The 26,713-nt window shown below is 41.0% G+C and overlaps 1 long non-coding RNA gene across 1 annotated transcript; it reads right to left on the bottom strand.

The window, feature by feature from the left end:
* Window positions 1-1,767: 1,767 nt before the first annotated feature.
* PRY (PTPN13 like Y-linked) lies at window positions 1,768-26,008 on the bottom strand. Its single transcript, NR_197358.1, has 5 exons — window positions 25,921-26,008; window positions 25,733-25,819; window positions 14,772-14,892; window positions 12,081-12,196; window positions 1,768-2,593 (listed from the first exon to the last, which is right to left on the bottom strand). It is a non-coding gene; the product is annotated as a PTPN13 like Y-linked (long non-coding RNA).
* Between the last annotated feature and the right edge of the window lie 705 nt (window positions 26,009-26,713).

Below are 26,713 nucleotides of genomic sequence, written 5' to 3'. Positions count from 1 at the left end.
CATGTACCCTAAAACTTAAAGTATAGTAATAAAAGAAAAAAATTAATTGCAAAGAAGATTCTATTCTGTTTTTTTGCATAACAGAGTTGAAATTTATTTGTATTCTGAAAAAACTATGGACATTTTCACAAACAGAGAAATAAACAAATATGCCAATTCATAGGCGGTTTTGCCTTACCCCTTGAATATGACTTTAAAATGAGTAATGTTGACATAGAAAATGATGAAAATTAGACATATATAATTGCATAATATGCATGTTCATAACTTAGCCAAAAGATTGATTTTTATCTAACCCTAACATAAATGTTATATTAATGCCTGTAATCTCAGCACTTTTGGAGGCCAAGGCAGGCAGATAATGTGAGTCCAGGCATTTAAGACAGGTCCAGGCAACATGGCAAGTCTTTGTCTCTCTCAAAAAATACAAAAAGTTAGCCAGATATGATAACTGAAGCTAAGGCAGAAGATCAGTTGAGCTCAGCAGTTAGAGGCTGCAGTGAGCCATCATAGCACTTCTGCACTCCAGGCTGGGAAAAAGAATGAGACCCTGTCTCAAAATAAAAATAAAAGGAGAAGAAGAAGGAAAGGAATAAGAGTTGAAATTTTGTATGTCCTTTGATAAACCTCAGTAATGTTTAATATTGTCTTTTCATTTTGTTTATTGCTACAATTTAAGAAATTTACTTAAAAACACTTTTGGAAGGTTGCTGGGTACAATTTTTGAAGAAGCAACAGAACTATACCCAGATGGTCAACAGGTCAAATATATGACTTACAAGCAAAGCATCCTTGGCAACTTTAAAAACAGAAAGAAAAAAAAATCCATAAGGTTTGATGGGTTAGGTTATTTTCTATGTTTTTAGATTTAAGAAATCCCTTTTTTCTCTTAGATAATTATAATTTATAACACTTTAATAGGTTATACTTTTGTAAACAGAAATGAAACACTTGTTAAAAAAAATTAACTCTCCTGTCCCCCCGCCAACCACAGCCATCTGAATGGACCCCTCCTTTTGATCAAGAGCATTCCAAAATTGCTTCACTTCCTGACAAGAAAGAGGGACACACATGCTTCATTACATACTATTCCCTTTTGAACTTTAGAAAAAGCTGACCACCACTAACAGCAACACATACCTTAAATCTGATAAGGAATATTTACCACCTATTTTCTCGAGCCTGCTACATGGAGGCTTCATCATCATAATAAAACTTTGGTCTCTACAGCCCTTATTATTTATTGTAACCCAGTCATTCCTGTCTATTGATTTTATGTTTTTAGATAATAATTTAACTCTTTCAGCCAACTGCCAATTAAAACATATTTATATCTACCTGTAACTTGAAAGCCCAGCCCCACACCATCACTATTTTCAAGTTGTCCATCCTTCCTGGACCAAACCAATGTACATCTTACATGTGTTTGATTGATGTCTCAGGTCTCTCTAAAATGCATAAATGTAGGCTGTGAACATACCACCTGGGGCACATGTTCTCAGGATCTCCTGAGTAGGGATGTGTCATGGACCATTTGTCACTCATATCTGGATCAGAATTCTTCAACTAATTTTATGGCATAATATCAAAGTTTGATATTGTTAGTATATCTCAGCTAATGTAGGATGTCAATATGTATAAAGCAGACATTTACATTACCATTACAAATGCACTCTCAGTTAAACTGTGACTGTCTCAGGAAAAGAAAAAATGTTGCTAACCAGGCATATATCATATATTTAAACTTACATAATAATTCAAGTTCTAATATGCCTACTTAAAAAATGTTTCTATATTGTTTCAACTACTTTAGTTCTCTAAGAAAAATGAGTTATTAAAGCATGAAAAAAAGTGTTGTTGGAGGTTGTGATGTCTCCCCTGGCCTCAGCCCATCGTGGTTCCACTCAGCGCCTCTCCTTTCTCTGTACCAGAATCTCTGCCAGAAACAAGCCCAGATCATCTGCAAACCACACTTTGGTAGCTGTGACAATGCGTGGTCACTGCCTCACTCAAGGGACACTTTTGTAAGGTCAGAATTGGAGGCCAGGGCTGGGAAGTAAGGCCCAGGGCAGTGCCCCTCCTCAGTTCTGGGTGCTGCAGACAGGGTGTCTTTTCCTCACTTGGCCGCCAGATGTCTCAATGCCATGTACTCTCCTGGGAGGGTCCTGAGGAGACGTCTTTATTCTCACCCTGGTCGTAGCACCAGGTGACTTGTAGCAACGGCCACTCCTGGACATGTCCAGAAGAGAAGGAGGTTTTATCCTCATGGTGGACCCGACCCCAGGTGTCCCAAAGCCGCGGCCACTCTTGGGCGGGTCCTGAGATGAAGTAGGCTTAGTCTTCTTCATGAACGTGGCCACAGATGTCCCCAAGTGCCCTGAAACCACGGCCTCTCTCGAGTGTCCTGAGAAGGAAGCTCTGTCCGAGGCACTGTGAAGATAACCTGCTTCTCAGAGAGTTGGTTTGCAGGCTCAGTGCATCAGCTCCGTGCACCCTCTGGTGGTAGCCTTGGAAAATCTCTGAAATTTGGGGTGGGTTAATCCAGGCGGTCATCTCACGAAGTGGAAGTGAGATACAGCCAACCTTCCCATATCTAGAATGGAGATAAAAGGAAGCAAAGAAGACGGTCAATATACAAAACTCAATTGATTTTCTCTATATCAGCAATAATGAATATAAATAATTGGATTTTGAAATATTAAAACACCATTTACAATACTACCCGCAAAATTGAATCCATTAAGTATAACTGTAACAAAATATGCAGAATTCATTCAGAAAACAATGAGTCACCATTGGGAGAAATCAAAGGAAATGTTAGCAAATGCAGACAGGCTAGGCACGTTGTCACACGCCTGTAATCCCAGCACCTCGGGAGTCTGCAGCAGGCAGATACCTTGAGCCCATGAATTGGAGACCACCCTGGGGAACATGGTGAAAGCCCATCTCTGCCCAAAATACAAAAAAAATAAGCTGAGCTTGGTGGTGCATGCCTGTGGTCCCAGCTACTTGGGTCGTTGAAGTGGGAGAATCTGTGAGCTGAGATCATGCCACCGCACACCAACCTGGGTGACACAACTCCTCACAAAGTAAATAAATAGATGTTTCTTGTTCTGGAGAAGCACATTTATTATTATTTCAGCTATATTCCAATCAAATTCCAGGTAAATATATCAACAACTCTTCCTAAACCTAGAATAGATGAAATAAGACTGAAGAAGTGCAATGCCAGATGTGATATGAATACTTACACTAAAGCTAATGTAATAAACAAGAGTGTGTCATTCATGATTTAATAGACAAGCAGATAAGTGGAACAGAATAGTCAGCCCCAAAACAGGCCCAAGTCAAATGATTTTGTCGAAAATGCAAAGAGTGTCCTTTGGAAACAATAAGTCTCTTTCACAAGTGGCAAGAAAACAGCTGGAAACTATACGGAAACAAATGAACATAGACACAAATTTTACAGTTAAAAAAATTAGTCAAAAATACCCACACATTAAATTTTTTCAGTGCAAAGTTGTAATTGGAAAATATCTTCATGAGCTTGGGTTTAGTGATGAGTTATTATCAAGTCCATGAAAGAAAAAAAAACGGATAATATGAACTTTATTGAAAGTTGAAATGTCTACTCTGTAAAACACTCTGTTACCATTGGGCATGGCAGTTCAAGCTTGTAATCTCAGCACTTTTGGAGGTCGAAGCGGCCAGATCACCTGAGGACAGGGATTCCAGATCAGCATGGTAAACACGGTGAAACCCCGTCTCTAGGAAAAATTCAAAAATTTAACTGTGAGTTCTGGCGTGCACCTGTAATCCTAGCTGCTCAGGAGTCTGAGCCAGGAGTTTGAATCCCTTGAACTTGGGCGGTGGGGATTGCGGTAAGGCCATATAGGGTCATTGCACCCCAGCCTGGGTGACAAAATGAGACTCCACCTCCAGCTACTCGGGAGGCTGAGGCAGGAGAATGGCGTGAACCCGGGAGGCGGAGCTTGCAATGAGCCAGGATCGCGCCACTGCACTCCAGCCTAGGTGACAGAGTGAGACCCCGTTTCAGAAAAAAAAAAAAAAGAACCAAAGAACCAGCCACAGCCATAGATAGAAAAATTTAGCAAACTTATCTGAAAAGTGACTTGTATGCACAACATATGCAGAAACTCTAAAACTCAAAAAGATAAGCAACCCAATTCCAAGGTAAAAACCTGAGTAGATACATCACTAAGGAAGATACAGAGATGGAAAACAGGCAGACACACCAAACACTGCTTGCGGAAAGCCTGCTGCTTCTGCTGAAGGCTGACTCTAAGCCGTCCCATGGGGAGCAGCAGTGGCTGCCAGAGCGGCAAGTGGCTCCAGAGACCGCCCCCACCTACCCCACCTCCGCTCTTCCTCCAAGGTCCAAGGGTCCTGAAGGCACTAGGCATACTCTCCTAGAAAGAGCCGGAAGCTGGATACTTTATTTCTCGGCTTTCCTTAAAGTTCTGGAAGCTGCCAAGTATCCTTAAGTTGGAAGTTTTATTTTTTTCCTAAGCACCTTGAGGCACTGAGAAGCATTAGGAGAGGTGGTTTTTAACTCACACTTGTCTTCATAAAGAGATAAAAGAATTTGCTCCAACCCCTTTGTATTAAGTTGTTTTAAAATGTTTGGTTCAATATGTTGTTATTTTGCTTTCCTCCAGACACGAAACACAGAAAAAGCATTAAGTAAAAACCGAATAGGGAGTCATCATAAATTCATGGATACTATTTAGTTTTTCATTTAACCTGCCTTTTTTTATTGTAATTTAAATTATAGGATACATGTGCAGAACAGGCAGTTTTGTTACATAGGTGTACATGTGCCACGGTGGTTTGCTGCACCCATCAACCCATCATGTAAGTTTTAAGCCCTGAATGCATTAGGTATTTGTCCTAATGATCTCCTTCCACTTACCCCCTACTCCCTGACAGGCCCCATTGTGTCCTCATTGTTCCATTCCCACTTATGCATGAGAATAGGTAGTGTTTGCTTTTCTGTTCCTGTGTTAGCTTGCTGAGAATGACGGTTTCCACTTCATTCATGTCTCTGAAAAGGACATGAACTTATTCATTTTTGTGGCTGCATAGTATTCCATCGTGTATATGTGCCACATTTTCTTTATCCAGTCTATAATTGATGGGCATCTGGGTTTGTGCCATGTCTTTTTTGTGTGTAAATAGTGCTGCAATAAGCATACATGTGCAGTTTCCTTAGAGTAGAATGATTTACAATACTCTGGGTGTATACCACATAATGGGATTGCTGGGTCAAATGGTATTTCTGGTTATAGATCCTTGAGGAATCACCACACTGTCTTCCACAGTGATTGAACTAATTTATACTCCCACCAGCAGCATAGAGCATTCCTTTTTCTCCACATCTTCGCCAGCATCTGTGGTTTCCTGACTTTTTAATGGTCACCATTCTGACCGATGTGAGACAGTATCTCATTGTGGTTTTGATGTGCATTTCTCTAATGCTCAGTGATGCTGAGCTTTTTTTATATATATTTGTTGGCTGATTAAATGTCTTCTTTTGAGAAGTGTCTGTTGATATCCTTTACCACTTTTTGTTGGGGTTTGTTTTTTATTTTCTTATAAAATTTTTTAAGTTCCTTGTAGCTTTTGGATATTAGACCTTTGTCAGATAGATAGGTTGAAAAAATGTTTTCACATTCTGTATGTTGCCTGTTCACTCTGACGATATTTTCTTTTGCTGTGGAGAAGCTCCTTAGATTAATTAGGTCCCATTTGTCAATTTCGGATTTTGTTGCAATTGTTTTTTGGTCTTTTTGTCATGAAGTTTTTGCCCATGCCTATATCCTGAATGGTATTGCCTAGATTTTCTTCTAGGGTTTTTAGGGTTTTAGGTTTTACATTTAAGTCTTTTAATTCATCTTGAGTTAAGTTTTGTATGTGATGTAAGAAAGGGATTCAGTTTCAGGTTTCTGCATATGGCTCGCCAGTTTTCCCAGACCAGGGAATCCTTCCCTAGTTGCTTGTTTTTGTCAGGCTTGTCAAAGATCAGATCACTGTAGATGTGTGAATTACTTTAAGCAGTATGGTCATTTTAGGATAGAGCAGGATTTCAATCCCAGCTTTTTTTTTTTTTTTTACTTTCCATTTGCTTTGTAAATATTCCTCCATCCTTTTATTTTGAGCCTATGTGTGTCTTCACCCATGATATCAGTCTCCTGAATACAGCACACCAAAGGGTCTTGATTCTATCCAATTTGTCAGTCTGTGCACTTTAATTGGCAAATTTAGTTCACTTACATTTAAGGTTAATATTTGTACGGGTCAATTTGATCCTGGCATGGCAATACTAGCTGGTTATTTTGCATATTAATTGATCCACTTTCTTCTTAGTGTTGTTGGTCTTTATATTTTGCTACTTTTTTTAGTGATGAATACTGGTTTTGTTTTGTGTTGTTTTGTTTTCTGAGACAGAGTCTCGCTTTATTGGCCAGTATGGAGTGCAGTGCTGCGATGTCAGCTCACTGCAAGCTCCAACTCCCAGGTTCCTGCCATTCTCCTGCCTCAGCCTCCTGAGTCCAAGTACCTTTGACTACAGGCACCCGCCACCATGCCCAGCTAATTTTTTGTATTTTTAGTAGAAATGGGGTTTCACCATATTAGACAGGATGGCCTTTTACCTTTAGTTAAATAAGTTAGAGTAGAAACAAAGGAATGCGGGGTGTTTACCTAAGTAGCTTGCTTAGTCATGTGGTCCTAAGACTAATATTTGACTTAGCACAGTGCTAAATTGCTTTCTAACTGGGAAGTCCACACTGTCAATTACCCTTTAGTGGTGTTAACTAGAGCCTTGGTCAATTAATCCTTACTGAATAAATGCAAGTCTCACTAGCTGGCTGGGGCCACAGTCAAAACTGTTTGCAATAATTTGCCTGTAGTCTGTAAGCAGCTTGATGTTCAGCTGGACTGGCAAAGCATAATATCTGTGTGCTTTATTCATCCATTTATTCATTGTAGAAATCATGAATTAAAAAAATAACAGGATAAATGCGACAATATGTACTAGCATATTTTTTTCTTTCTTTTTTTTTAGTTTTTACTAAGTAGAGCTTAGAATATGATCAGTTTTCTGTGGCACAACACATGCCTGCTTCTTTTGGCAGCAATTATAGAATAATGAGAAAACAATAATAACAAAAAGTGCCAGTCTGAAGAGATCATGTATTTTATGATCATATTTCTATGACATTATAGAAATGTCTACAGAGAAGGTAAGCAGACCTGTGATGTACAGTGGTTTGTAGGGGAAAGAGAGTGAGTTGAATAGGGGAATAGGATGTTGGAAAGGGGGTACAAATGGGCCAGTTAGACTTAGACTGCCTCTGGTTCGTGAGGTCATGCTTGGTGTGTGGAAGAGCCAGGAGTGTGTAGTACAAGCATGATAAGAAGGTTTCTACTCAGCCAGATGTGGTGGCTCACCACATCTGCAGTCCCACCACTTTGGGAGGCTGAGTTGGGTGGATCACTAGGTCACGAGGTTGAGACCATCATGGCTAACACGGTGACACCCTACCTCTACTAAAAATACAAAAATTAGCCAGGCATGGTGGTGGGCACCTTTAGTCCCAGCTACTCAGGAGGCTGATGAAGGAGAATGGCATGAATATGGGAGTTGGAGCTTGCAGTGAGCAGAGACCACACCACTGCACACCAACCTAGGCCACAAAGGAAGACTCTGTTTCAAAACAAAAACAAACACAAAACAACAACAGCAACAAAAAACAAAGGCTTCTACTCACTCTAGGAGAGAGAAGGGTCCTCTTCTTTCCACATGGAACTATCTCAGGACTAGTTCTCAGGAAGCCTTTTTGGTATGTGGTAAAAGAAACGTAACATAAATTTACCAATCTAAACATTTGTAGGTGTACAGGTAAGTGGCATTATGTATGTTCATGTTACTGTGCAACCATCACCACCATTTCACATTCTCACCAGCAATGCACAAGGGTTCCATTTTCTCCACATACTCCCCAACTCTCCCTTTTTCAAAAAAAAAAAAAAAGACATTCTAGTGGGTTTAAGGTGATAATCTCATTGTGATTTAGATATCCATTTACCTAATGGCTAATGATGTCGAACATATCTTTCTGCGCTTATTGGCACTGAACTTGTTAATGGTTTCCTGGGTATGACAGAGAATGCACAGAAAACAAAAGAAAAAATAGATAAATTGAACTTCATTAAAACTAAAATCTTTCATGCTTCAAAGGGCACTATCAGGATGGTCAATAGAAAACCAACAGCATAGGACAAAATATTTTCAAGTCATATATAAGGGTAAGGGCCTAGTATCCAGGATATAGGAGAAATTCTTACAACTCAAGAACAAAAAGACAATCAACCCAATTAAAAAAATGATAGAGAAATTGAAAATACTTTTCTCCAAAGATACACACACACACAAAAACACATAAAAATTAGCTCAACATCACTTATTTCAGGGAAATGCAGATCAAAACCACAAGAAGACACCACTTTTCACCCATTGTAATTATTATTATTTAAAAACCATGAACGAACAAGGGTTGACGTGGAAGTGGAGAAAAACAAAAGTAAAATAGTTCATCTGCTGTGGAAAATAGTTTGGTGTTTCTGCAAAAAGCTAAACATGGAACCATCATAGAAACCAGCAAATCCCCCCCACCTCAGGTATATACACAAAAAATATAAAGCAGGTATTCAAACAAAACTGTGTGTGCACATATACTCATGGAAGAATTATTCACAATAACTAAAATGTGGAAACAAACCAAATGTCCACAAACAAATAATAGGAAAACAAAATGTAGTATACCTATACAATGGCATAATATCTAGCCATAAAAAGATTGAGACACTCATACTACAATGTGAAGATACTGCAAAACCATTGTGTTTAAAGAAGCTAAGCACAAAAGTCACATAGTGTATGATTTTATGTATATAAATGTCCAGAATAAGTAATTTCATAGAGAAAGAAAGCAGATTTGCTAATTGTCAGGGGTCAGAAAGAGGACAGATTGGGTAGTAGTTCCTTAATAGGTAGGGGATTTACTTCAGTAAAAAATATCCTATCCCCAGTATTCCAACAGCAGGCTGAGCTCTCATTCCATGGTGTCCCCTTAACCTGGGGTTCAAGTCCCCCCACAGTCCGGAAGTGCCTGGGGCCTGAGCAGGCACATTCTGGACACATACTCCAGCCATTGTGTCCACCAGCTCCTAGACCTGTTACCGGTGAAAAGTATCTGAGTTACTGGCAGCAAATCCGTCCGGGTCTTTAGCAATATCAATTCTTGCCTCCTCAGGTGAAAGAATTCAACTGGTGGGCATAAAGAAGGAAGAAGGAAGAAAATGCCATGGCAAGTTTCACAGCAGGAGTGGACGTTTATTAAAAAGCTTTAGAGCAGGAAAGAATGAAAATTGCACTCGAAAGAGATCCAAATGGGTGACTTGAAGAAGTGTGGCCATTAACCTTCCTTCTGGGACATTTTAGGCTGGCCTACCGCCAGCATCTGGTGCACCCTTTCCCATGATTCTTCCCCTAGCATGGGCTGCCCACAGGCACAGTGCCCTCGTTACCCTTGGGAAGTAAGTATAGACAGTGTGTTTAAGCAGTTATATGTATGCCCATCTGAGGCTTCCTCCCTTTTATTGGTGGGGTGACCCCAGAAAGTCATACTCCACCATTTTGTCTCTTAATGTGCACTCCTGGGTTCAGTCATCCAATGTCTGAGATTTTATGGGACGCCCTTTTTCCTCCTCTCTGGCATGTGAGTTTAATTAACACTTTAATGTTACCAGCTGTGTATCAGGCTATCCCTGGCCCCAGCCGCTAAATTATTATTTTTAGAGAAGCAATATGATAACTGTCCAACCATCACCCGATGGCCTGACATTCCTGGTATGCGGATGTGGAGAACCCGCTCTTGCCCCACTCATGACTGTTTAACCAACTGTAACAAACCCACGGGCCAATTTCACTTCCAGGTCAGTTTTTCTCTGCTGCCTTTCCGGACACCCAGTGATCAGTGATGCCTCCTCAGGGTTTACAAGGTCTTCAGTATCATGCTCTATTTTGATCCAGACCTCAGCACATAATATCCATGGGTTGTTCCATTTCAATAAAGGGAAATTAACATTTTCTGATCACAAGTGCATGCAGGTGTCTTACTCAGGTGAACTCACAGCAACTCTGCAAAGTATGGGTAGTCCCACATGTAGAGAAAAATGCCAGGATCCAGTGACTGAGTGACTCACTTTCAATCACACAGCTTCCAAGTAACTTCATACTCACATTCCAGCCCATGGCCTGGTCTCCAGTTGTCATTTAGAAAAGGTTTGCGAGTACTTGAACATATGCCCAGGCCACACCCAGACTTATTTGTAACAACAAAGATGAGCTCCAGGGACAATGGTTGACAAGACCCACCCAGTCATCTTTCTTCCATTCAGAGCCATTGTAGTACTCGATACTCATCAGAAACAGTCTCTTATCCCAAAGCCCTCTCATACATAGGGTGTATCAATGGGAATGGGTCACACATGGGGCACAAAGGGCAAATTTAGTGAGGGAATCAGAGCCAGCACATAAAGAAGGAGCTGGTGATTCCAAGTGTAAAGAAAGGCGGTATGCTAAGAAGTTATTGCCCTGGAGGGTGAAGGATACAAGAGGTTTGTATGACTAAATCAGAGGGAGAAAGAGAGAAAGCAGGCAATGGACCAAACACTTAGCACAAGGGACAGTGATTCCTTAACAAGGTCGATGCAGACCTACCATGACATGATGTGGCCACTGCACTCCTAGGAATGAACCATGAGAAATGAAGGCAAGCTCACAGGCTACATACATAAATAAATATTCATGACATCCTTACACATAATGGTCCCAAACCAGGAGCCCAAATGCCCATACACAGAAGAAGGGTGAACAAGCTGTGGCACATCTATACAATGGCATGTGGCTCAGCATGAAAAGGAATGGACTGTTGATGCACTCAGAACAGAGTGACTCTGAAAGTAGTTCTGCTGAATAAAAGAAGCCAGATCAGAACGATGCACAAAGACCCAAGTACATACTGTATTTACCTGTAATTCTATAAAATACCCACAAGTTTTTAGTGAAAGAAGCAGATCTGTGGTCCTAGGGTGGCCAGGGAGTGATCGTTATTGATGGGAGGAAGATGTGTTTTCATGACCTTCATCACACTTCTGGCCTTGCGGTGAATGAAATACTCACATGGAGAAACCATCAGTTCTTCCATCTACACAGGTGCAGTTTACCATATGCCAATCACATGCCAACAAAGCTGTTTCTAAATAAGCAATCATGATCCAGAGCAAGGAATAAGGTTGGGCAGGAGACCTGATGAGGCAGATTGTTTTCTTTTCCTAATCTATAAGGCTGCACACTGAAATTAAGTTGGCCCTGAGCTCAGACACTGAACAGGCCTTTGGGAAAGGCTCACACAGTCCTTCCTCCTGAACAGAAGAGTGACCACCTAACACAATACCCAGCTGCCCCTCAGGAACTTTATATGTCAATGTGACCTTCCCATCCTTGTGTCTGTTTTCTGCAATTTCCTCTTTCAGGCAGAAGCCAATGTGGCCTCTGATGTAGAGGAAATAATGTTAAAGTTCTAATATGGACATTCTGGTTCCATCATAGTAGAGAAACGGGTTGCATCTTCTCTCTTCACGACAAAGAGAAGGGAAAAGCCATGAGAACAATGTCCACAGTTGTGTGATCAGGTTGCAAGTGGAGGAAGAACATCGCCATGCCAAGGAAGCAGCAGGGCAACTGAAGGTGAAGGTTTCTGCAGAGGAAAGAAGGAAGCTTAGGGATTCCCAGAGGAAATCATCCTTCCCATTTGTAGGCCCCTGGTTTGAAGGCCAGTTCCTCTTGTCCCAATGTGAAATGAGCGTGTGACAATCCCCATTTCAGCCTTAATGCTAATTACAGAGGCAAACGTGAGAGACCAACAGTTTTTAAAAAATGCAAACAAACAAAAAAAACAAACAAAGGCAAATATGATCAACAGACAACTCACCTCCAGAGAAATGAGTCTTTAAGATCCTTCTTCCTTCTGGCCTCAAGACCTCTGTTCAAGGAAAGTTCAGAACACATGCTCCCCGTAGTCTCAGAGAAGTATAAAATATTGCATCCCTGAAAAATAACAAAATTTAGGAAGATAATAGGAAAATTCAGAGATTAGGAACAACAGCTTGAAATTCTCTTAAAATGTGTAACTCTCAAAAATTGGAAGACAGAATCTAAAAAATATTTCAAAACCACATACAATTAACAAAATAAACCTAAGAAAAGTGGTTAGCTCTCTGGGAGATTTGTCCCATAGTTGCAGTAGCGAAATAGCATTTGACATGTAAAAACCCAGGGAGGCAGTTATAAAAGCTCTGGGAATGACAGCTCCACCCCAGGCCTAGAGAGATGTTGGTGGGATAGGAACAGGAAAACGGAAGGTGTCCACCAGTGATTTTTCAGGTGGGAGGTTAGAAATGAGGGAAGATGATAAGGATGTGATAAAAGGAGATTTAATTTGAATTTTAATTTAGTTCCAACTTAATTTAATTTAATTTTAAATTTAATTTAATTTTAATTTAATTTAATTTTAAATAGAAAGAAAGAAGAAAAGGCAATTAGAAACTCCAAGAAAAGAGAAAGCTAAAGAAAAAATATGTATATACCTATAGAATACCAAGAAATGTAGGTGAATTCAAAGTGCCAATATACTTCCTACAAGAAGAAAGTCACAAGATTCTATTGCATTGGATTGAAAAAATATATACATAAATATACATATACTCTACAGTTACTTTCAACATCAATGATAACTAAGAAAGAAACTAAAATCATGATATTTCTATCATTGGGTGAGGGTGGAGGAAAGGTCAGAAGTCTAAGAAACTCAGCCTTCCTCTGTTGTACCAGGTGTTAACAGGTAATTCAGGGGACTAGGGTTAGGTGCACATGGTGGCAGTTCCTTCTGAGTTACCCTTGCCTCATCTCTGTATTTTTCAGTCATGTGCATATATTTTTATTTTCAAAATAAAATATATGGGAAGTAATTTGTGGTGTCAGAGACTCTAGGAAGATTCTCTGTTCCAGGGTACGGGTTCCACATCTAATTAAACACCACAGATTCCAGCAGAAAATCCTAGCTCTACCCACACTTCCACTCCCTCAAACAAGACTCAAGTAATCACCACATCCAGCTCAAAAACTCAAGATCTGTCCAAAGCAGATCCACGTGTAGCCATCAGCAAGGGTATCAATAGACACAGCCACAGAGGTGTCTGCAGTGCATCATGAAGTCCAGCCGCTAGCAGTAGACCAACTGCACAGTCTGGAAGGAAATTTTCTTGGAGGATGCCAATGCTAGAGGAACCAGCCATGATGCAGGTGCAGCCATAGAGGGGTCCATCATGTTACTGCAAGCAGCCAGAGGGCAGAGGTAATGAGCAGGAAAGATGAGGGGGAGGGTGGCGACATCATGGTTGGGCCCCTACTGGTACATGTTGCCACCCTGCAGTGGCCTGTGGGAAACAGAGAACACCGTATTTTGGTGGGCAGAGGCTCTCTCAGGCCAGAGCAGTAGGACCTGGAAAGAAACTGAAGCCAAGCTCAGGAATGTGGGTTCCTGTTTCAATTTGGCTACTGGTGGCTGTGGACCCCAGGATATAACAAATTACATGCCTTTACCGTTTTCCCTGTGGCTGCAAAGACTTGGGTCAGGCTCTGAATTACCTGGCCCCCTTGAGGCGCTTAATAAAGCTTATTACTGGAAACTGATAATATATTAGCACTTTATTTACAATGACCTTCAATGAAGTGTTGTTCTCCAGTATTGAAAATAGGAAAACAATTATCAAGAGCTTAATAGTTATGGGATTAAATGATGGTTGATCCTCAAGAACTATTAGGCAGCACTTGATAATAAAGCATTGGTATTTCATGAATGCTCACTGTGTCTCAATTGTACTCTTAGGCTTTTGACAACCAGCCTGACTTAAGCTTTGCAAAAATCCCCATGGCAGATCCTGGCACCATCTCTATTTTACAGGTGAAAGGTCACATGAACCTGCTTAGGGACACATACCTGGGCAGGGCAGGATCTAAATGGAAGCAGGCCCAAGAGGTGTCAAGAAAGATGCTAATATCCTAATGGTATGTGGAAAGGAGGAGCAAATGTGCACATGGTGTGAAGGCCAGACAAGATTTAGGACAGCCCTAAATGTAGAACAGATCCACAGCAGGCCAGCCTCCAGTTTTCTTATTCTTAAATGATCCTCCTCATCAAGTAAAGATCACAGAGTGCAGGGAGGCTGCTCAAAAAAGTACTGATATGTAGCAGAAACATGAGAAAAGCAAAAGAAACAAAATACTAAAAATAAACACACCACAATGACAGCTGAGTTTGTCTTTAGGTGGCCGGCCTACAAGTGTCTTTTTCTAAGTCTGTTTTCACCATTCTCCAAAATAGACATAAATTTAGGTAATGTGTCCAGCTGCAGGAACAAGTGTTGGGTCAGAGGAAACTGCTTCCCAAACCTGGCCCCTGACCCAGGCTCCTTGCTGGCAGCTTCCCCTTCCCTGTGGTCTGTCCTGATCCCAGTGACAGGGCACTATCATCCCTACACATATTCCATGTCCTAGTCCCCACTAAAATGTAGAGGGGTACTGAACAGGTGAGATGTTCTCATGGCCCATATGATGACAGTACCTGGCAGTCAGTGCCATTCAAATTGTCTTGTCTCCAGGAAAGTAGAAAGCCAAGCCCAGTGGCTCCCATTGTCCTTGAGTGGTCTCTTGGGATTGTTGAGGCCCATTTTATTCATGTCTCTCTAAAAGAGATAAGATGGGAGAAGAGGTTTTGTGGGACTCTGAGGTACATCCTTCTTCCCAGCAGGTAAAGCAAGCCTGCTGGCTGGAAAATGCTGTTACCACAGGGGCACCCCAATATTCTTTGTTCATCTCTGGCCCTATCTTTGGTCTAAACCAACAACCCATAATTACTAACTGTGGGAAACAAAGTTTCTGGGGTGCCAATTAAGTTGGTCTCCCCTGTATGAGACACCCATGGGGAGCCATGGGCAGCCTCTGAGAAGAAAAATCTCCTTATTACCTTCATGTATTTATGCCCCCAGAGCATAACCACTCAGCGGCATTCCACTGGTTGCTCAGGAAGATAACGTTCCCTTGAAGCAGTGGAATATAATAAAACATCTTGGCTCCTCCTGAAACCCACTCCCACCCATTTCAGTCATGATAAGTTGAAGATCTTAAGTAGTTTAGACACATGCCTTTGCTCAAGGAAATTCACAGAAACCACCAGTGCTATACATCTTATTGAATGGCTGATGAGTTCTCCTTCACTGCTTAATCCTTTTCCTTATTCCTTCCTCCCCCTCCCATCTCCTTAAGGACAAAGAATTTGTAAACCAATAAATTGGGTGGAGCCTGAGAGCTCCAGGCCATGAGCAAGTCTCCAATGCTCTGGTGCCCTGGACCTACCTTTTAAGTGCTTATTCTGTCTCTTTCTAACACCTTTGTCTCCTCCAGATTCGGGGTACACACTGGGTCTTATGTGGCTGGTTTCCCCAACACTAACCTGGGACATTCCAAATCTTGGTGCTTGTGTTGTCTCTCAAATCAACTCACCAAGCCCTCCTCAGAAAACGCAATGCCCTTTTCTGCAGCCAAAGACCTCATTATGCCACACAGTGACCTTGAAATGCAGAGGGGCAGCCACAACCCCACTTGGGCCTGTTCTGAACCTGAGATCTCTGGTTTCAGTGATCTCACAGCCAGTTGATTGAAAGGGACAGGGAAGTGTGTGGAGGAAGCACTCTCCACACCACTGCACTGCAGCCTGGACAACAGAATGAGACCCCATCTCAAAAAAAAAAAAAAAAAAAAACCTTTAAAAATGCATCCTATTTTTTTCTGAGGGTGTTCCAAGATGGCCAAATAGGAACAGCTCCAGTCTGCAGCTCCCAGCATGATCAATGCAGAAGATCAGTGATTTCTGCATTTCCCACTGAGGTATCTGGTTCATCTCATTGGGAATGGCAGGGCAGTGGGTGCAGCCCACAGTGAATGAGCTGAAGCAGGGCAGGGCATCACCCCTCCTGTGAAGTGCAAGCAGTCGGGGAATTTCCCTTTCCTAGCCAAGGGAAGCTGTGACAGACTACCTGGAAAAACGGAGCACTCCTGCCCAAATACTGCACTTTACCCAAGGTCTTAGCATCCAGCAGACAAAGTAATTCTCTCCCATGCCTAGCTTGGTGGGTCCCATGCCTGGCTTGGTGGGTCCCATGCCCACAGAGCCTTGCTCACTGCTAGCGCAGCAGTCTGAGATCAAGCTCTGATGTGGCAGCCTGGCTGGTAGAAAGGCGTTCACAATTGCTAAGTCTTGAGCAGGTAAACAAAGCACCCAGGAAGCTAAAACTGGGTGGAGCCCACCACAGCTCAACAAGGCCTACTGCCTGTAGACTACACCTCTGTGGGCAGGGCACAGTTGAACTAAAGGCAGCAGACAACTTTGGCAGACTTAAATGTCCCTGTCTGACAGCTCTGAAGAGAGCAGTGGTTCTCCTAGCATGCCATTTGAAGTCTGAGAATGGACAGGCTGCCTCCTCTCATCTGTCCCTGACCCCTGTGTAACCTATCTGGGAGACAGCTCCCAGTAGGGGCTGACAGACACCTCATATAGGCAGCTGCCCCTCTGGGATGAAGTTTCCAGAGGAAGGATCAGGCAGCAATATTTGCTGTTCTGAAATATTTGCTGTTCTGCATCCTCTGCTGGTGACACCCAGGCAAACACAATCTGCAGTGGACTACACCAAATCCCAAAAGTCCTGCAGCTGAGGGACCTAAGTGTTAGAAGGAAAACTAACAAATAGAAAGGAAGAGCATCAACATAAGCAAAAAGTTCATCTACACCAAAACTCCATCTGTAGGTCAACAACATCAAAGACACAAGGTAGATAAAACCACAAAGATGGAGAGAAACTACAGCAGAAAAGCTGAAAGTTTTAAAAATTGAGTGCTTCTTCTGCAATGGATCACAATTCCTCACAAGCAATGCAACAAAACTGGACAGAGAATGAATCTGATGAGCTGACAGAAGTAGGCTTCAGGAGGTTGGTAATAACAAAACTATTTGAGCTAAAGTTTCATGTTCCAATCTATCACAAGGAAGCTAAAAACCTTGGAAAAAGATGAGATGAATGGCTAACTAGAATAAATAGTGTAGAGAGGATTTTAAATGACCTGACGGAGCTGAAAACTGTGGCACAAGAACTTTGTCATGCATGCACAAGCTTCAGTAGCTGATTCAATCAAGTGGAAGAAAGGGTATCAGTGATTGAAGATCTCATTAATAAAATAAACTGAGAAGACAAGGTTAGAGAAAAAAGAGTAAAAAGAAACAAAATCTCTGAGAAATATGGGACTAAGTGAAAAGACCAAATCTAAGTTTAATTGGTGTATCTGAAAGTGATGGAAAGAATGGAACCAACTTAGAAAACACTCTTCAGGATATTATCCAGGAGAACTTCCCCAACCTAACAAGGCAGGCCAACATTCAAATTCAGGAAATACAGAGAATGCCACAAAGATACTCCTTGAGAAAAGCAACCACAAGACATACAATTGTCAGGTTCACCAAGGTTGACATGATGGAAAAAGTGTTAAGGTCAGACAGAGAGAAAGGTTGAGTTACCCACAAAGGGAAGCCCATCAGACTAACATTGGATCTCTTAGCAGAAACCCTACAAGCCAGAAGAGAGTGGGGGCGAATATTCAACATTCTTAAAGAAAAGAATTTTCAGCACAGAATTTCATATCCAGCCAAACTAAGCTTTATAAGTGAAGCAGAAATAAAATCCTTTAAAAATAAGGAAATTCTGAGAGATTCTGTCACGACCAGGCCTGCCTTACAAGAGTTCCTGAAGGAAACACTAAACATGGAAAAAAACAACCAGTATCAGCAACTGCAAAAGCAAATTTTAAAGACCATCGATGCTATCAAGAGACTGTATCAATTAACAGGCAAACTACACAGCCAACGTCATAATGACAGGACCAAATTTACACATAACAATATTAACCTTAAGTGTAAAGAGGCTACATGCCCCAGTTCAAAGACACAGATGGGTAAATTGGATAAAGAGTCAAGATCCATCAGTGTGCTGTATTCAGGAGACCCATCTCACATGCAAAGATGCACATAAGCTCACAATAAATGAATGGAAGAAGATATACCAAGCAAATGGAAAGCAGAAAAAAATATAAGTAGGAGTTGCAATCCTAGCCTCTGATAAAACAGACTTTTAACGAACAAAGATCAAAAGAGACAAAGAAGGCCATTACCTAATGATAAAGGGATCAATTCATGAAGAAGAGCTAAGAATTCTAAATATATATTCACCCAATACACAACCCAGATTCAGAAAGTAAGTCCTTAGAGACCTACAAAGAGACTTAGACACCCACACAATAATAATGGGAGACTTCAACACCCCACAGTCAATGTTGTCTCATTAATCAACAGATCAATGAGACAGAAGGTTAACAAGGATATCCAGCACTTAAACTCAGCTCTGTAACAAACTGGCCTAATAGACACCTACAGAACTCTCCACCCTAAATCAAGAGCATATACATTCTTCTCAGCACCACATCACACTTATTCTAAAATTGACCACATAACCTGAAGTAAAGCACTCCTCAGCAATTGTAAAAGAACAGAAATCACAACAAAGTGTCTCTCAGACCACAGTGTAATCAAATTAGAACTCAGCATTAAGAAACTCACTCAAAACTGCACAACTACAGGGGAACTTAACAACTTGCTCCTGAATGATTGCTGGGTAAATAACAAAATGAAGGCAGATATACAGACATTCCTTGAAACCAATGAGAACAAAGACACAACATGCCACAATCTCTGAAACACATTTAAAGCAGTGGGCAGAGGGAAATGTATAGCAGTAAATGTCACAAAAGATAGCAGGAAAGATATAAAATTGACAACCTAACATCAGAACTAAAAGAAATAGAGAGGCAAGAGCAAACAAATTCGAAAGGTAGCAGAAGGCAAGAAATAACTAAGATCAGAGCAGAGCAGAACGGAAAGAGATAGAGACACAAAAAACCCTTCAAAAAATCAATGAATCCAGGAACTGGGTTTTTTTTTTTTTTTTTTTTTTTTTTTTGAAAAGATCAACAAAATTGAAAGACCCCTAGCAAGGCTAATAAAGAAGCAAAGAGAGAAGAATAAAATAGAAGCTATAAAAAATGATAAAGGGGATATCACCATCGATCCCACAGAAGTACAAACTACCCTCAGAGAATACTATAAACACCTCTAACAAAATAAACTAGAAAATCTAGAAGAAATGGATAAATTCCTGGACACATACACCCTTCAAAAACTAAACCAGGAAGAAGTTGAATCTCTGAATAGACTAGCAACAGCCTCTGAAATTGAGTAAATAATTAATAGCTTACCAACCAAAAAAAAGCCCAGGACCAGGTGGATTCACACCCAAATTCTACCAGAGGTACAAAGAGGGACTGGTACCATTCCTTCTGAAACTATTCCAATCAATAAAAAAAAGAGAGAATCCTCCCCAACTCATTTTATGAGGACAACTTCATCCTGATACCAAGGCCTGGCAGAGACACACAAGCAAAAAGAGAAGTTTAGACCAATAGCCCAGATAAACATCCATGCGAACATCCTCAATAAAATACTGGCAAACTGAATCCATCAGCACAACAAAAAGCTTATCTACTACTATCACATCAGCTTCATCCCTGGGATGCAAATGTGGTTCAATTTATGTAAATCAATATACCTAATCCATCATATAAACTGAACCAATGACAAAAATCACATGATTATCTCAATAGATGCAGGAAAGGCCTTTGACAAAATTCAACAACCCTTCATGCTAAAAACTCTCAATAAACTAGGTATTGATGGAACATATCTCAAAATAATAAAAGCTACTGACAAACCCACAGACAATATCCGACAGAGTGGACAAATACTGGAGGCATTCCTTTGGAAAACCGGCACAAGACAAGGATGCCCTCTCTCACCATTCCTATTCAACATAGTGTTGGAAGTTCTGTCCAGGGCAATCAGGCAAGAGAAAGAAATAAAGGGTATTCAATAAGGAAAAGAGGAAGTCAAATTGTCCCTGTTTTCGGATAACATGATTGTATATTGAGAAAACCCATTGTCTCAGCCCAAAATCTACTTAAGCTGATAAGCAACTTCAGCAAAGTCTCAGCATACAAAATCAGTGTGCAAAAATCACAAACACTCCTGTACACCATTAACAGACAAACAGAGAGCCAAATCACAAGTGAACTCCCATTCACAAGTGCTTCAAAGAGTATAAAATACCTAGGAATCCAGCTTACAAGGAATGTGAAGGACCTCTTCAGGAAAAACTACAAAACACTGCTCAACGAAATCAAAAAGGACAGAAACAAATGGAAGGATATTCTACGATAATGAGTATGAAGAATGAATACCTTGAAAATGGCCATAGTGTCCAAAGTAATTTATACAAGCAATGCCATTCCCATCAAGCCACCAGTGACTTTCTTCAGAGATTTGGAAAAAAAAAGGTACAGTTCATATGGAGCCCAAAAATAGGCCATATTGCTAAGATAATCCTAAGAAGAAGAAGAAAAAAAAAGCTGGAGACATCATGCTACCTGACTTCAAACTATACTACAAGCCTACAGTAAACAAAACAGTATGGTACTTGTACCAAAAGAGATGTATTGACCAATGGAACAGAAAAGAGGCCTCTGAAATAATACCACACATCTGCAATCATCTTATCTCTGATGAATCTGACAAAAAGAAGAAATGGGGAATTGACTCCCTATGTCGTAAATGGTGCTGGGAAAAGGGGCTGGCCATTTTTAGAAGGCTGAAACTGGATCTCTTCCTTACACCTTACATAAAAGCTAATTCAATATGAATTAAAGACTTAAATATTAAATATAAAACCGTAAAAACCCTAGAAGAAAACATAGACAATACCATTCAGGACATAGGCATGGGCAAGTACTTCATGACTAAAACACCAAAATTAATGGCAACAGAGGCCAAAATAGACAAATAAGATCTAATTAAACTAAAGAACTTCTGAATGGCAAAAGAAACTACCATCAGAGTGAACAGGCAACGTACAGAATGGGAGAAAATTTTTGCAATCTACCCATCTTACAAATGGCTAATATCAGAATCTACAAAGAACACAAACAAATTTTCATTAAAAAAAAAAAACACCTCATCAAAAGGAGGGCAAAGGATATGAACAGACACTTCTCAAAAGAAGACATTTATGCAGCCAACAGACACATGAAGAAATGCTCATCATCACTGGTCAACAGGGAAATGCAAATCAAAACCAAAATGAGATATCATCTCAAGCCACTTGGAACGGCAATCATTAAAAAGTCAGGAAACGACAGACGCTGGTGTGGATGTGGAGAAATAGGAATGCTTTTACACTGTTTGGGAGAGTGTAAATTAGTTCAACCATTGTGGAAGACAGTGTGGTAATTCCGCAAGGATTTAAAATTAGAATTACCATTTGACCCAGCAATCCCATTACTGAGTATATACCCAAAGGGTTATAAATCATGCTGCTATAAAGATACATGCACACGTATGTTTATTATCGCACTATTCACCATAGCAAAGACTTGAAACCAACCAAATTGTCCATCAATGATAGACTGGATTAAGAAAATATGGCACATATAAACCGTGGAATACTATGCAGCCATAAAAAGGACAAGTTATTAATGGTATTATAATTAATATCTTGAATTAATAATAATATAGTGTGAATTATAACAACTGAGCATTGACATTATACAAAAATCATTTTCCCATACTGTTTTCCCCAACTTTCTATTTTTTTGTCAAAAATAGTTTGTTATGCAACATTTGCTAACAACCCAGATGTGTAATTATTGCTTTATTTTTTGTCATTTCTTTATTTTATTATTGTATTGTATTTTAATTCATTGAGACAGGGTTTCAGTCACACAGGCTAAACATGGTTCACTACAGCCTCGAGCTCCTGGGCTCAAGGGACCCTTCCAACTCAGTGCCCTATGTTCTGGGGACAGAAGTCCATGCCACCACAGCTGGCTAATTTTGTTTATTTTCTCAAAAGACGGTCACATTTTGTTGCCCTGGCTGGTCTCAAACTCCCAGACTCAAGGAAATCCCCCTACTTTGTTGGGATTACAGTTGTGAGATACTTTTAAATCCAGTAGAAAAATAAAGTCACAGAAAACCCAAATATAATAATATTGGCTTTTCTATTTCGTGACGTAATTATTTTATTGATGTTCTTATTTCTTTATTTGCACATGGGGCACTATTTTTCTTTCATTCCTTGCTTGTTTTCATCATGTTTTGTAAGGCTGATCTAGTAGTAATGTACTCTCTTTAATTATGTTTGCTTGGAAATGCCTTATTTGCTCATAAAGTTAAATTTTTGTTTGGCCAGATATTGAGTTTATGATTGACTTTATCTTCTTATTCCAGCACTTTAAAGATCTCATCACAGTGACTTCTTTCCACTATAATTTTTAATGAGAAATTGGCTGTTAATGTTATGAAGGATAACTTGCATGTGATGAGTTACTTCTGTCTTGATTCTTTTAAAGTTCTCTATTTATTTGTCTTCTGTCAATTTCAGTGCATGTGTTTCAGTGTGGATATCTTGGATTTTATTCTCCCTGGAGTATTGTGTTCTTTAGAGATACTTGGATCAGTAGATTTGCATCTATCGACACTTTTGGGAAGTTTCAGCCACTATTCATTTAAATATTCTTTTTTTCCCCATCTCACCTATTCCAGTGGGACTCCCATTATGAATATGTTGATATTCTTGATGGTGTCCCATGGAAACCTTAGTTTTGATCATTATTCTTGTTTCTCTTCCTTACACTGAACAATATCAAACAATCCATCTTCAAGTTGCCTCATTAGGCATTCCTGAGGCAGGCTAAGGCACCCTTCAGAGCTGTCAGTCTGCCTAAGCAGAGGAAAATGGTACAGGCAGAGCCTTCCTGGTATAGGGAAAAATGCTGCCTGTAATAAGCCACCACTGGACACAAAAATATAGATGATAGGGCCCTTTTGGGCAGTCTCTAAGGTTGGGTTCCACAGAAGAAGTCATTTTGAGACTGTGAAGGGGTCACTGCAATCTGCACCTCTGCCTCTATTCCCAATAGAGGATGTGTGCAAGAGTTAATTCCCATGGGGATTGAAATACCATTTGGTGAGTTTTTGAAGCATCTCTGGGTGATGGAATCATCACTGAGACCCAAGAGAGTGGTGTCAGTGAAAGATGGCTGGGCCGTTGACATCACTGACTCCCTTCATCCTGGGCCTCACAGGGGAAATACAGGGAAGCACAACAAAAGCAAGTATTTGTTCCTCTCTGGGAAATACAGGAACCACAACAAAAGCAAGTCCCAGATAAAGCATTGTTTTCACACCTCAAACTGGCCTTTCTCGGATGCAGATGTGGTTGAGAGAGTATCTCTGAGGTGGTCCATGGCAATTGCAAGACAGAAAAGGGTGTCCAGTAGTGCTGATGAGGGGCAATGTGGACTCCCCATGAAAGCAAAGAAAAATGAAAGCTCGCCTGAACGAACAAGCTGACTTGTGCAGGAGTACAAGCAAAGTTCAAAGATTCCTGTCAGAGGACCCAAAAGCCTCCTGCAAAGTGCAAACAACATCAGCCCCTACAAGGACACCATGATCCACAACCTGGTGCATAGCCACCGTATGCAAAGTCCTTTTGGCTTCCTGAAATTCCTGGCACTGAAAAGATCTATAGCAAGAGGCAGTCCCATCTAGCAAGAGCCAATGATAGACCCACTCCACAGCAAGGAAGGACATGCAGATGAAGTGAAACAGAGCCAAGATTAGCAGGAAAATGCAGAACATGGCTGCCTGCCTCTCATCCTACAGGAATCATGCAACCCTTCAATAAAAGAGGGATAATAAAAGTTTCCATATGGATGGTTGTAATGGGAATTTATGCCTTTAAAAGTCTCATATTGCCTAGTCATTAAAACGTGACAGAATTAAGAAAGAAACAATGATGCAATGGATTCACATAAGAGTGGTCCTCCATGAACTGGGAAACTTCTAGTGTGGAAGATATGGAACCAGACCCAGAAAACCCTAGGCCAAAGAGGAACATGGAAGTCAGGAAAAGAAGACGCAAGTGTGATGGCTACACTCACCCAGCATCAATCCATCACACTCTCATTTGGCTCCGGTTATGAAAGCCCTCACATTGAGAGTTCTCCAGATGGCCCCAGTTTGTTCTCAAAATATTCTCTTCATGTCCACCTGAAAACCAGGCTATTTACTTGGAAGCAGATTCTGTGTCATCTATCTTCATTTTTTTTTTGCAAGTGATGTTGCAAAACCTTATACACCCCTCACGAGATTTTGTCCTTAAAGCTATCTGACTTTATTCCTGCTCATACTCTATGTCCCAGGATGAAATCAAAAGATGATGGAGAGTGCCCCCCCACCACAAGATGTGAATCACCTGCTCAGCTGGGAACCAAATTCAAGGTTAATTCAAAGTGCCCAGTGGACAGGACTGCTAGTGTCTATGCCTGGGTTGGCCTCACGACAATGAAACACTAGGAGATGTCTCTTTTGGGCATGGTGTGCTCCTCTTCTTTTTAGAAGAGTGGCTTTTTTTGAACACACAATGCCACACACACATTCAGACATCCTACACTCACTATACTCCCACAGAAATACACAGCCCAGCAGCTACCGAGGCTGCACGAAGCACTACCTGGAGAGAGTCCCACAGCCCAAGCAGAGAAACACAGGCCACCAAAATGTTGGAAGACTCAAAAACAGAAAGCACTGGAGTGCATAAGTAATATGCTTTTAAGCAGACTTCACTTACAGTCACACACACACACACACACACAATACCACACAAACATGCAGACATCCAACACTTGAAATGCTCCGCCAGAAATGTTGGGAGACTAAAAAAAAAAAGAAGGGAAAAGGGCTGAAGCGGGTTAGCCATGTAATTTCCAGCACACTCTACTGTCAGGCGCACATGTGCACACCCAATGCCACACACACACGCAGACATCCAACACTCACAACACTCCCACAGGAAAACAGAGCTCAGCACTCCTGAGGCTATGTGATTCTGCAAGAATCCCAACCTGGGAGACAGCAACCACAAGAAACCCCAGTTGGCTATACCTAGAAATCACAGTTGGACAAGTTTCAAAAGACTCATGCCTACAATGTCTAGGCTGGCCTGAGAAGTCCTGCAGATGTTTTTCCCTGTGTTTAAGCAAGCTGACATCCTAAGCAGAGAAAAATAATACAGGCAGAGTAGGCCTGTTGTTGATAAAAAAGGCTGTGTTTGAAAACCCTCTGTGTGACCCTAAATGTCTCAACCTCAGGGCCCCTTCAGGGAGGAGGTATTTTTAGATAGTAACCTGTTCACTGGAAACTGCCCTTCTGTCTCCATTTTTGAAACAGGCTGTGTGCAATAATCTGGTCCCATAAGAATTGGAATATGATCTGTTGTGTTGTTGAGGGTTCTTTGGGTGATACAATCATACCTGAGTCCTTAGAGGTGGGTGTCAGTGAAAGAAGGTTGGGCTCTTGACCTCACTGCATCCCTTCATCCTGGGTCTCTCAGAAGCTCTCTGGGAAAGGTAGAAACCACGACAATGGCAAGTCCGAGGTGGAGGAGTGTTCTCATACCTCAGACTGGTCTTTCACTATGCAGTTGTGGTTATTCTCTTACCTCAGACTGACCTCGGACTGTGCAGATAAGGTTGAGACAGTGAAACACTGCAAGATGTCTGTTTCTGGTGTGGTGTGCTCCTCTTCTTTCTAGAAGAGTGGCTCTTTTTTGTTTTATTTCTTTCAGGAGGAGTTGATTTTGACACCTGCATGTCTTGGCCCACCTCCCGATTCACTGCAGATTCATGATCCACAGAAAAATAAAGAACACGGAGCCCCACAGCACAAACAAAGCAACAGAGAGGCCAACAAAGATTGAAACATTCAAAAAAAAAAAAAAAAAGAGGCACTGAAGTGCATTAGACACATTATTTAAGCAGACTCCACTTACAGCAACAAACACATTCTTAAACACACAATGAAAAACACACACACACACACACATCCAACAGTTGCAACACTCCCACAGAAAAACATAGCTCAGCAGTGCATGAGGATGCATGGCTCTGCAGGAATTCCCACCTAGGAGAGAGCAACCCCAAGGAACATAGGCAGGCTGTACCTAGAAACCACAGTAGGGCAAGTTTCAAAAAGATTCACCCGTACAATGTCTAGGCAGGCCTACCAAATCTTGCAGATGTTTCTGGATGCTTAAGGATTTTGTGGTTTATTCCTGTAGCTATGCTTGTTTCTTCACGCTGGCTAACGTCTACCCTCTCCTAGGATCATGAGACTATCCGTGGATTTCACAGAGAAGACAGACGAGAAGACACAGCTGACGCTCCTCCACGGAGGTCCCCTTTTCCAAGATGCAGATACTTCTTGCTAGGCAACGGTGACATTTATAGCGATGC

The sequence above is a fragment of the Homo sapiens genome, chromosome Y (assembly GCF_000001405.40).
Source record: "Homo sapiens chromosome Y, GRCh38.p14 Primary Assembly".
NCBI lineage: Eukaryota > Metazoa > Chordata > Mammalia > Primates > Hominidae > Homo > Homo sapiens.
This window is presented reverse-complemented; position numbering and strand designations above follow the sequence as displayed.